At 43.0% G+C, this 12410-nt stretch overlaps 1 protein-coding gene across 6 annotated transcripts in view; it reads left to right on the plus strand.

Annotated features, from left to right (window-relative positions):
- RAD54L2 (RAD54 like 2) overlaps nt 1–12410 on the plus strand; it is a 129942-nt gene that overhangs the window by 110131 nt on the left and 7401 nt on the right. For all 6 annotated transcript variants that reach the window (NM_001322253.2, NM_001387866.1, NM_015106.4 and 3 more), the window contains 3 exons: nt 7122–7321; nt 8731–8820; nt 11177–11269. In NM_001322253.2, coding sequence (NP_001309182.1) covers nt 7122–7321; nt 8731–8820; nt 11177–11269 — 383 coding nt within the window. The remainder of the gene's footprint in view (nt 1–7121; nt 7322–8730; nt 8821–11176; nt 11270–12410) is intronic.

Genomic DNA, 12410 nt, shown 5'->3' on the forward strand with positions numbered 1-12410 from the left:
CAGAGCAGAAAAGCTGAAAATTCTAAAAACCAGAGCACCTCTTCTCCTCCAAAGGATCACAGCTCCTTGCCAGCAACAGAACAAAGCTGGACGGAGAATGACTTTGACGAGTTGACAGAAGCAGGCTTCTGAAGGTCAGTGGTAACAAACTTCTCCAAGCTAAAAGAGGATGTTCAAACCCATTGCAAGGAAGCTAAAAACCTTGAAAAAAGATTAGACAAATGGCTAACTAGAATAAACAGTGTAGAGAAGACCTTAAATGACCTGATGGAGCTGAAAACCATGGCACGAGAACTACATGACACATGCATAAGCTTCAGTAGCCAATTCAATCAAGCAGAAGAAAGTGTATCAGTGATTGAAGATCAAATGAATGAAATGCGGTGAGAAAAGTTTAGAGAAAAAAGAGTAAAAAGAAACGAACAAAGGCTCCAAGAAATATGGGACTATGTGAAAAGACCAAATCTACGTTTGATTGGTGTACCTGAAAGTGACAGAATGGAACCAAGCTGGAAAACACTCTTCAGGATATTATCCAGGAGAACTTCCCCAACCTAGCAAGGCAGGCCAACATTCAAATTCAGGAAATACAGAGAACACCACAAAGATACTCTTCGAGAAGAGCAACCCCAAGACACATAATTGTCAGATTCACCAAGGTTGAAAGGAAGGAAAAAATGTTAAGGGCAGCCAGAGAGAAAGGTCGGGTTACCCACAAAGGGAAGCCCATCAGACTAACAGTGGATCTCTTGGCAGAAACTCTACAAGCCAGAAGAGAGTGGGGGCCAATATTCAACATTCTTAATGAAAAGAATTTTCAACCCAGAATTTCATATCCAGCCAAACTAAGCTTCATAAGTGAAGGAGAAATAAAATCCTCAAATGCTGAGAGATTTGTCACCACCAGGCCTACCTTAAGAGACCTCCTGAAGGAAGCACTAAACATGGAAAGGAACAACCGGTACCAGCCACTGCAAAGACATGCCAAATTGTAAAGACCATTGATGCTAGGAAGAAACTGCATCAACTAACGAGCAAAATAACCAGCAAACATCATAATGATAGGATCAAATTCACACATAACAATATTAACTTTAAATGTAAATGGGCTAAATGCCCCAGTTAAAAGACACAGACTGGCAAATTGGATAAAGAGTCAACACCCATCAGTGTGCTGTATTCAGGAGACCCATCTCACGTGCAGAGACACACAGAAGCTCAAAATAAAGGGATGGAGGAAGACCTGCCAAGCAAATGGAAAGTAAAAAAAAGCAGAGGTTGCAATCCTAGTCGCTATTAAAATAGACTTCAAACCATCAAAGATCAAAGGAGACAAAGAAGGCCATTAGACAATGGTAAAGGAATCAATGCAACAAGAAGAGCTAACTATGCTAAATATATATGCACCCAATACAGGAGCACCCAGATTCATAAAGCAAGTCCTTAGAGACCTACAAAGAGACTTAGACTCCCACACAATAATAATGGGAGACTTTAACACCCCACTGTCAAGATTAGACAGATCAACGAGACAGAAGGTTAGCAAGGATATCCAGGACTTGAACTCAGCTCTGGACCAAGCAGACCTAATAGACATCTACAGAATTCTCCACCCCAAATCAATAGAATACACATTCTTCTCAGCACCACATTGCACTTATTCCAAAATTGACCACGTAGTTGGAAGTAAAGCACTCCTCAGCAAATGTAAAAGAACAGAAATCAAAACAAACTGTCTCTCAGACCACAGTGCAATCAAATTAGAACTCAGGATTAAAAAACTCACTCAAAACCACACAACTACATGAAAACTGAACAACCTGCTCCTGAATGACTACTGGGTAAGTAATGAAATGAAGGCAGAAATAAAGATGTTCTTTGAAACCAAAGAGAACAAAGACACAACGTACCAGAATATCTGGGACACATTTAAAGTAATGTGTAGAGGGATATTTATAGCACTAAATGCCCACAAGAGAAAGCAGGAAATATCTAAAATCAACACCCTAACATCCCAATTAAAAGAAATAGAGAAGCAAGAGCAAACAAATTCAAAAGCTAGCAGAAGGCAAGAATAACTGAGATCAGAGCAGAACTAAAGGAGATAGAGACACAAAAAACCCTTCAAAAAGTCAATGAATTCAGGAGCTGGTTTTTTGAAAAGAGCAACAAAATAGATAGAACACTAGCAAGACTAAGAAAGAAGAAAAGAGAGAAGAATCAAATAGATGCAATAAAAAATGATAAAGGGGATATCACCACTGATCCTACGGAAATACAAACTAGCATCAGAGAATACTCTAAACACCTCTATGCAAATAAACTAGAAAATCTAGAGGAAATGGATAAATTCCTGCACCCATATACCCTCCCAAGACTAAACCAGAAAGAAGTTGAATCCCTGAATAGACCAACAACAGGCTCTGAAATTGAGGCAATAATTAATAGCCTGCCAACCAAAAAAAGTCCAGGACCAGATGGATTCAGAGCTGAATTCTACCAGAGGTACAAAGAGGAGCTGGTACCATTCCTTCTGAAACTATGCCAATCAATAGAAAAAGAGGAAATTCTCCCTCACTCATTTTATGAGGCCAGCATCATCCTGATACCAAAGCCTGGCAGAGACACAACAAAAAAAGAGAATTTTAGACCAATATCCCTGATGAACATCGATGTGAAAATCCTCAATAATATACTGGCAAACAGAATCTAACAGCATATCAAAAAGCTTATCCACCAAGATCAAGTTGGCTTCATCCCTGTGATGCAAGGCTGGTTCAACATATGCAGATCAATAAATGTAATCCATCACATAAACAGAACCAAAGACAAAAACCACATGATTATCTCAATAGATGCAGAAAAGGCATTCGACAAAATTCAACAGCCCCTCATGCTAAAAGCTCTCAGTAAACTAGGTATTGATGGAACGTATCTCAAAATAATAAGAGCTATTTGTGACAAACCCACAGCCAATATCATACTGAATGGGCAAACACTGGAAGCCTTCCCTTTGAAAACTGGCACAAGACTGGGATGCTCTCTCTCACCACTCCTATTCAACATAGTGTTGGAAGTTCTGGCCAGGGCAATCAGGCCAGAGAAAGAAATAAAGGGTATTCAATTAGGAAAAGAGGAAGTCAAATTGTCCCTATTTGCAGATGACATGATTGTATATTTAGAAAACCCCATTGTCTCAGCCCAAAATCTCCTTAAGCTGATAAGCAACTTCAGCAAAGTCTCAGGGTACAATATCAGTGTGCAAAAATCACAAGCATTCCTATACACCAATAACAGACAGAGAGCCAAATCATGAGTGAACTCCCATTCACAATTGCTTCAAAGAGAATAAAATACCTAGGAATCCAACTTACAAGGGATGTGAAGGACCTCTTCAAGGAGAACTATAAACCACTGCTCAACAAATAAAAGAGGACACAAACAAATAGAAGAACATTCCATGCTCAGAGATAGGAAGAATCAACATCGTGAAAATGGCCATACTGCCCAAGGTAATTTATAGATTCAATGCCATCCCCATCAAGCTACCAACGACTTTCTTCACAGAACTGGAAAAAACTAAAGTTCATATGGAACCAAAAAAGAGCCTGCATTGCCAAGACAATCCTAAGCCAAAAGAACAAAGCTGGAGGCATCATGCTACCTGACTTCAAACTATACTACAAGGCTACGGTAACCAAAACAGCATGGTACTGGTACCAAAACCAAAATATAGACCAATGGAACAGAATAGAGCCCTCAGAAATAACACCACACGTCTACAACCATCTGATCTTTGACAAACCTGAACAGAAACAAGAAATGGGGAAAGGATTCCCTATTTAATAAATGGTGCTGGAAAAACTGGCTAGCCATATGTAGAAAGCTGAAACTGGATCCCTTCCTTACACCTTATACAAAAATCAATTCAAGATGGATTAAAGACTTAAATGTTAGACCTAAAATCATAAAAACCCTAGATGAAAACCTAGGCAATACCATTCAGGACATAGGCATGGGCAAGGACTTCATGACTAAAACACCAAAAGTAATGGCAATAAAAGCCAAAATAGACAAATGGGATCTAATTAAACTAAAGAGATTCTGCACAGCAAAAGAAACTACCATCAGAGTGAACAGGCAACCTACAGAGTGGGAGAAAATTTTTGCAAACTACCCATCTGACAAAGGGCTAATATCCAGAATCCACAAAGAACTTAAACAAATTTACAAGAAAAAATCAAACAACCCCATCAAAAAGTGGTTAAAGGATATGAACAAACACTTTTCAAAAGAAGACATTTAGGCAGCCAACAGACACATGAAAAAAATGTTCATCATCACTGGCCATCAGAGAAATGCAAATCAAAACCGCAATGAGATACCATCTCACACCAGTTAGAATGGTGATCATTAAAAAGTCAGGAAACAACAGGTGCTGGAGAGAATGTGGAGAAATAGGAACACTTTTACACTGTTGGTGGGACTGTAAACTAGTTCAACCATTGTGGAAGACAGTGTGGTGATTCCTCAAGGATCTAGAACTAGAAATACCATTTGACCCAGCCATCCCATTACTGGGTATATACCCAAAGGATTATAAATCATGCTACTATAAAGACACATGCACATGTATGTTTATTGCGGCACTATTCACAATAGCAAAGACTTGGAACCAACCCAGATGTCCATCAATGATAGACTGAATTAAGAAAATGTGGCACATACACACCATGGAATACTATGCAGCCATAAAAAAGGATGAGTTCATGTCCTTTGTAGGGACATGGATGAAGCTGGAAACCACCATTCTCAGCAAACTATCACAAGGACAGAAAACCAAACACTGCATGTTCTCACTCATAGGTGGGAATTGAACAATGAGAACACGTGGACACAGGAAGGGGAACATCACACACTGGGGCCTGGCATGGTGTGGGGGGATGGGGGAGGGATAGCATTAGGAGAAATACCTAATGTTAAATGACGAGTTAATGGGTGCAGCATACCAACATGGCACATGTATACATACGTAACAACCCTACACGTTGTGCATGTGTACCCTGGAACTTAAAGTATAATAAAATTCAAACAAACAAAAAAACTTGACAAATGAGGTTCCAAAGGAAATTTTGGAAAACTTGCCAAATAAGTCTCATGTAAGGTTTTAGGTAAGACATTGACTTTTATGAGTGGATTTGTTGTCTTTTTTGGGGGTGGGGTACAGAGTCTCTGTTGCCCAGGCTGGAGTGTAATGGTGTGATCTCGGCTCACTGCAACCTTCGCTTCCTGGGTTCAAGCAGTTCTCCTCCCCTAGCTACCCAAGTAGCTGGGATTATAGGTGCACACCACCACGCGTGGCTAATTTTTTGTATTTTTAGTAGAGACTGTGTTTCACCATGTTGGCCAGGCTGGTCTTGAATTCCTGACCACAGGTGATCCACCTGCCTCGGCCTCCCAAGGTGCTGAGATTACAGACATAAGCCATCATGCCCGGCCATTTGTTGCTGTTTGTATAGCAAATTGAAGATACTTTTAAGTAGAAAGTCACTTTCTTACTAGACATGGTGGCACATACCTGTAGTCCCAGCCTCTTGGGAGGCTGAGGTGGGAGAATCGCTTGAGTCCAGGAATTGGAGACCAGCCTTGGCAACATAGTGGGACTCAATCTCAAAAGAGAAAGTCACTCTCTTTCAAAACTTTCAGGCTTTATTTCTGTCATTTCCCAAGATAGTATTGCTCAGGAATGGTCTCTTCTCTTTTCCTCCACCCATTCCTCCCTCTTTTTTTTCCCCCTCTTTTTTGGGCTTTTCTGTGTAACCTCAGGAGTGGACTAAACCTGAGCCCAGTGAGAGAAAAGCCACATGGAGAGAAGATGTGACAAATGGTCCAGACTAGCTATAAGGAGATGTCAGCTTTGTTTCTGGCTTAGCTCTGGCCCTGTGGGGGCACCAACTTCTCACAGCATTTGATGAGTTCATGATCCTGCTGAGTTTTTTTAATCCACATGGGTACATGTGAGGAATACTTCTTACCCAAATTCTTAGTCTTAGCCCCTGCAGGGTATGCGGCTTGGGCTGGGTTTCTGTTACATTGATACCTGACCAGGGCCTCTAACTCCTGCCAAACCATCCTAGGAAGACACTGGGGAAACAGGCCAGATAGCACAGGTCTGGGGCCCATCTGGGAACTTGGAGGTCCACAGGGACCAAGGGGCTGACCAAAGGGGCCTTTAAAAACCTAAGAGCAATGTGATTGAGGCATCATGCAGACCAGCTCCAACAGCAGAGTGGTATAAAAGTGTTATTTTATGTGCCAATCTTCAGTCAGATGAGGAAGAACATAACAGTCTTAAGGGTTTTTTTTTTTCCCCCTCCAGGCCCAAAGACGAAAGATGCAGACTTCAGAAAGCTTGTAGACAGGGACTTTTCAAAAATCTTAAATCAGTAGAAGCCTGGCTTTTGTACACACTGCTTTGGTGGCTGCTGCTTTTGTTGTTGTCATGACTGGAGGGGCACTTTGAGGGTTGTTCCAGGCTGGAGCTAGGAAGAACTCAATGAAAAGTAATACAGAAGAGAGAGAGAGGTGTCTGTATTACTTATTGAGACTCAAGGTTTCAGAGAGAAAGTAAAGATGTTTAAAGTTGGAACAGACTATTTTTTAGGATCACCTAAACGTGTCGTTACATGGCCCTTTTTCCGTGGGTGAGTGGGGAAAATTCTGCCCATCTCAACTTAACATACGCTGTGGTCTGGTGAACTTTTCCTGCCTTATTGCATCTTGACAGCTTCCTGACTTCCCTTTAGGGACTAACTCCTAATGTAGATAGTCCAGGTTCTAGAGGAGCAAATATTGTCTCCCATCTCCAGAAAGTATTATTCCACCAACATCTGATTCTCCTTAGACTTTGACAGACTTTATCCCTCTGCCTCTTTTGCTGCAACTGAGTCCTGCCTTCTAGTCTCCTTTTGAATTGACCAGACCCTGCAGATTCTTCTGATCCTTCTCTGAGCATCAACTGATGGTGTAGAATGGGGCAGCCTAGAAAGGCTCTGTAGCCTTTGGAAAAGGTAACAGTTGTTCTGCCAAACTCTTTTAGTGTCCTTGTCTTTCTCTTACAGGCAGCCAACTTTGAAGGGTGATGAAAAGCCTGTGGCCAGTGTTCGTCCTGTGCAGTCCACCCCCATCCCCATGATGCCCCGGCATGTCCCATTGGGAGGAAGTGTAAGCTCTGCCTCCAGCACAAATCCATCCATGAACTTTCCCATCAACTACTTGCAGCGTGCAGGAGTCCTTGTGCAGAAGGTGGTCACCACGACAGGTGGGAACTCCTGGGCTCTGTGGCAGAGCTGCTGTCCCTTTTAAAATTACTTTGTTCATTTAGGAAGTATCTATTAAACACCTTTTGTATTTCTGGCCTTACTACATTTGGCACTCTTGGTAAAAAATAGGGAAGACAACAGTCCCTGGTCTTGAGGAATTTGGATTCTAGTGAAATATCTTAAGAATAACAACACATAACTGGGTTTTCTTGGGTTTGGTGGGTGAGATAGACTCTGAGCACTGCAGGAATTGTGGAAATGTCACTGGAATACAGGGTTGGTCTCAGGTTCTTATAGAGGTGTGAATATGCTGAGCCCTGCCTGATTGTAGACCCATCTGGGTATAAAAGACAGCTGTCAACCTTTGTACATAATGAGAAGACCTGAATTGTCACTTGCGTCTACCTTTGCGAGTTTGATATAAATTGAGCATGGTGGGCCAGTCAGCAGTGGTGGCAGGTAGCCAACCCATCCACTCCAGGAGCTGGTTCTGTGATTCAGTGTGATTAGGAAGGAAAACATTTTGTGATCCTGTTTTTTATCTTGTTATTTAGCAATATTTATAATATATAAATTGATTATTATTTTTTTTTTTGGAGACAGAGTCTTGCTTTGTCACTCAGGCTGGAGTGCATGATCTTGGCTCGCTGCACTCCTGGGCTCAAGCGATTCTCCCGCCTCAGCCTCCCGAGTTGCTGGAATTACAGGCGTGTGCCACTATGCCCGGTGAACTTTTTTGTATTTTAATAGAGATGGGGTTTCACCATGTTGCCCAGGCTGGTTTCGAACTCCTGAGCTCAGGCAATCCACCCGCCTTGGCCTCCCACAGTGCTGGGATTACAGGTGTGAGCCATTGCACCCGGCCAATATATAAATTTTAATGAAAATATCTTAATTGATTTTTCTAAGTAAAAAATTTGAAACACATGAAAAGAAAAAGAGAGCGCCATATAATTCTATTATCTACTAATTCTTGAAAATACTGTTTCCCAGGTGTGGGGTAATGCCAGCAAGGAAGAAGATTAGGCCATTTTTGGAGCCTAAAGTGATGTGGCGCAGATGCGTGCAAACAGTTTGGGGAAGAGGAAAAAAATGCATAGAAACAACCATCTAAACTAAAACATTTTTCACACCAAAAACTATGAATTTCTAATTAAATAAAGGGAAATTGATTGCAACGATGACCAGCTCAGATTTCTGACAAAGTTCCTGTTTTCATAGTATTCTTTGTTTAGATAATTGTGAAAGATCCTGCTTGCTTCACCTTCCTTGGTTCTGGACCTCTGCCCCACTGAGAGGCTGTAGGGAAACCAATGAAGAACTGGGGTAGATGTGGGACTTTGCAATTTTCCCCCCTCCTTCAGTCAGGCCCCGTGCAATCTAAATTTAAGATCTGTGTTTTTCCTAGATATTGTTATTCCTGGACTCAACAGCTCCACAGATGTACAGGCAAGAATTAATGCTGGTGAGAGCATCCACATCATCCGTGGGACAAAAGGTAAGAGCCTGACCAAGGACCTGTTCCCTGCCTTTGGTTGAGAGTGCTGGGCTGGGAAGAAGAATAAATACATATGACTTGAGCTAGACGGGTCATAGGAATCATCCCATTAGGATGTCACATTCCGGAACTGAATGAGAAAATAGCATTTGTAGGAGCTTAGGGGAGTTGGGTTGAGCCCATAGGGTATTAGTCAGTGGTTTAAAAGAAGGAAATTAGGGTCCCTACATTTCTCTATCTTGCTGTCTTTTTTTTTTTTTTTTTTTTTTTTTTTGAGATGGAGTCTTGCTCTGTCGCCAGGCTGGAGTGCAGTTGCGTGATCTCGGCTCACTGCAACCTCCACCTCCCAGGTTCAAGCAATTCTTCAGCCTCAGCCTCCCAAGTAGCTGGGACTACAGGCATGCGCCACCACGCACAGCTGATTTTTGTACTTTTTTTTTTTTTAGTAGAGATGGGGTTTCATTATGTTGGCCAGGATGGTCTCGATTTCTTGACCTCATGATCCGCCCACCTGGGCCTCCCAACGTGCCGGGATTACAGGCGTGAGCCACCGTACCCGGCCCTTACTGTCATTTTTATGAGAATCTTGGGATGGGACAAGTAGACACAAGGAGACCAAAATTGGAGGGAAAGAGCGGTGGAATGGGTTATAAGCCTACATACATTTACCCACTTGCTTGGAGCAGGGTGGGGGTCCCCTGATAGGATATGTATTATGTGGATGAATTACACATGGGTTGCATGATAGAATTTTTGCATATGGTAATTTAAAAAGTCCACATCTGCCTCTGTCCTCCTTTCAGAGGGATATGAGATTGGTGGAATAAAAAAGCTGGGCTAAACAGTATTGAGACACAATCTAAGCCTGTTTTTTTCCCCTCTTTTCTGCACCCACGTCTTCTATCCAAGCCTGTTTTACATATTAGCCTTTAAATAAGCCCCATGATTGTGTGAGGCTCTTTGAGACTTTTTGTTCAGTAAGGAGATTTTGCCCTAGCTTCTATTGGGTTAGAGTACCTTTGAGGTTAGGGAAAAAGTGCCATGAAATACCCAGACTCATAGAAAACACCATTCCCAGCCTCCTTACTGGATTCTTCCTAGTCTAGAACCCAGCCCCCTTTACTGCTGTCTTCCTAGTTTATAGCTGGGGTCACCAAACTCTATGCCCCATGGGTCAAATCTAGCCTGCTACCTGTTATAATATCTGCGAGATAAGAATGGGTTTAACATTTTCAATTGGTTGGAAAAAAAAATCAAAAGAGTAATATTTTGTGACGTGAAATTATATGAATTTCACATTTCAGTGTCCATAAAGATTTTTTGGAGTACAGTCATGCCACGCTATTTTTGTGTTACAGCAGCAGAATTGAGGAGTTACAATAGAGACCTTATGGCTTATAAAGCTCTTACAAAAACCATCCGGCTCTTGTTTTTTTTTTTTTTTTTTTTTTTTTGAGGCAGAGTCTCGCTCTGTTGCCCAGGCTGGAGTGCAGTGGTGTGATCTCGGCTCACTGTGAGCTCCACCTCCCGGGTTCATGCCATTCTCCTGCCTCAGCCTCCCGAGTAGCTGGGACTACAGGCGCCCACCACCACGCCCGGCTAATTTTTTGTATTTTTAGTAGAGATGGGGTTTCACCGTGTTAGCCAGGATGGTCTCAATCTCCTGACCTTGTGATCCACCCGCCTCGGCCTCCCAAAATGCTGGGATTACAGGCGTGAGCCACTGTGCCCGGCCCAAAAACTATCTGGCTCTTGTAAAAAAGTTTGCTAACTCCTGGCCTAAAGGCAGCACTGACATTCGAGGAGGTTGATCAAATGACATACCCAAGGCTGAAGAGAAGATAGATTAGTGCCTTGTGGGAATAGAATGCAGGTCTTTCTTGAATTATTCCTACTAGGGGAGAGAGGATATTGAAGCAGTAAGGCTCCTTCCTCGCAGATCAAGAGGAGAACCTGGGCCAGAGTGCCTGGGAACATAGGATTCCAACTTACTCTCTTTTGTAGCACCTTATTTGCTTCTCCATTGCATTGAACCCTTCCTGATATTTTCTGGTATAAGTCTCTGTCTCCCTCTCTAGAGACTAAGCTCCATGAGACAGGGCCTTTTTCTGCCTTGTGCCTTCTAGTGTCTAGAACAGTGCCTGGCACATGGTAGTCATGTAATCAATGCTTGTGAAATAAATGAATAATTATGAGTCCATAGCTCAGTCACCCCACTTCTTATTTCAGGGGTCTTGGGAGATGGTATACCTAATTGTATAGCTATTTACAAGCCCACGGCGCACAGCCTGGAGTTTCCCAGGGTTGGCTGTATTATATGTCTGCCTCTAACTGTCTTCTTCGTGTCTATTCTTAGGGACGTACATCCGTACCAGTGATGGACGGATCTTTGCTGTCCGGGCAACTGGCAAACCAAAGGTTCCTGAAGATGGTCGGATGGCTGCCTCAGGTGTGATGGCTTTTACTTTCCATTTTACTTTTCAAACAACATTTGTTTGCTTTGTTTTGGTTAGGTATTAACTTATTATGTGAATAGATAATATGTACATGGTTCACAATTCAGAGTGTACAGAAAGAGGTAAAGTGAAAAGTAAGTATTTTTGTGTGGTTTTTTTTTTTGTTTCTTTTTGTTTGTTTGTTTGGTTTATTTTTTGTTTGAGACAGGGTCTCGCTCTGTCGCCCAGGCTGGAGTGCAGTGGCTCGATCTTGGCTCACTGCAAGCTCTGCCTCCTGGGTTCATGCCGTTCTCCTGCCTCAGCCTCCCGAGTAGCTGAGACTACAGGCGCCCGCCACCACACCTGGCTAATTTTTTTTTGTATTTTTAGTAGAGACGGCTTTTCACCGTGTTAGCCAGGATGGTCTTGATCTCCTGACCTCGTGATCCGCCCGCCTCAGCCTCCCAAAATGCTGGGATTACAGGCATGAGCCACCGCGCCCAGCCTTTTTGTTTTGTTTTTTTTGTTTTTTTTTGAGACAGAGTCTCGCTCTGTTGCCCAGGCTGGAGTGCAATGGTGCAATCTCGGCTCACTGCAACCTCCTCCTCCCAGGTTCAAGTGATTCTCCCGCCTCAGCCTCCTGAGTAGCTGAGATTACAGAAGCATGCCACCACGCCCAGCTAACTTTTGTATTTTTAGTAGAGATTGGGTTTCACCATGTTGATCAGGCTGGTCTCGAACTCCTGACCTCGGGATCCGCCTGCCTCGGCCTCCCAAAGTGCTGGGATTACAGGTGTGAGCCACCACGCCAGGCCATAAGTTTCTCCTCCACCATGGTCGCAGACATCCATTGCTCCTCCTTTTTTTGAGACAGAGTCTCGTTCTGTCACCCAGGCTGGAGTGCAGCAGTGCAATCTCAGCTCACTGCAACCTCCGCCTCCCGGGTTCAAACGATTCTTCTGACTCAGCCTCCCGATTAGCTGATTAGCTGGGATTACAGGTGCGTGCCACCACGCCCAGCTAATTTTTGCATTTTTTGTAGAGATGGGGTTTCACCATGTTGCCTAGGCTGGTCTCGAACTCCTGACCTCAAGTGATCCACTCACCTCGGTCTTCCAAAGTGCTGGTATTACAGGTGTGAGCCACCATGCCCAG

Source organism: Homo sapiens, chromosome 3 (assembly GCF_000001405.40).
Source record: "Homo sapiens chromosome 3, GRCh38.p14 Primary Assembly".
NCBI classification, from domain to species: domain Eukaryota; kingdom Metazoa; phylum Chordata; class Mammalia; order Primates; family Hominidae; genus Homo; species Homo sapiens.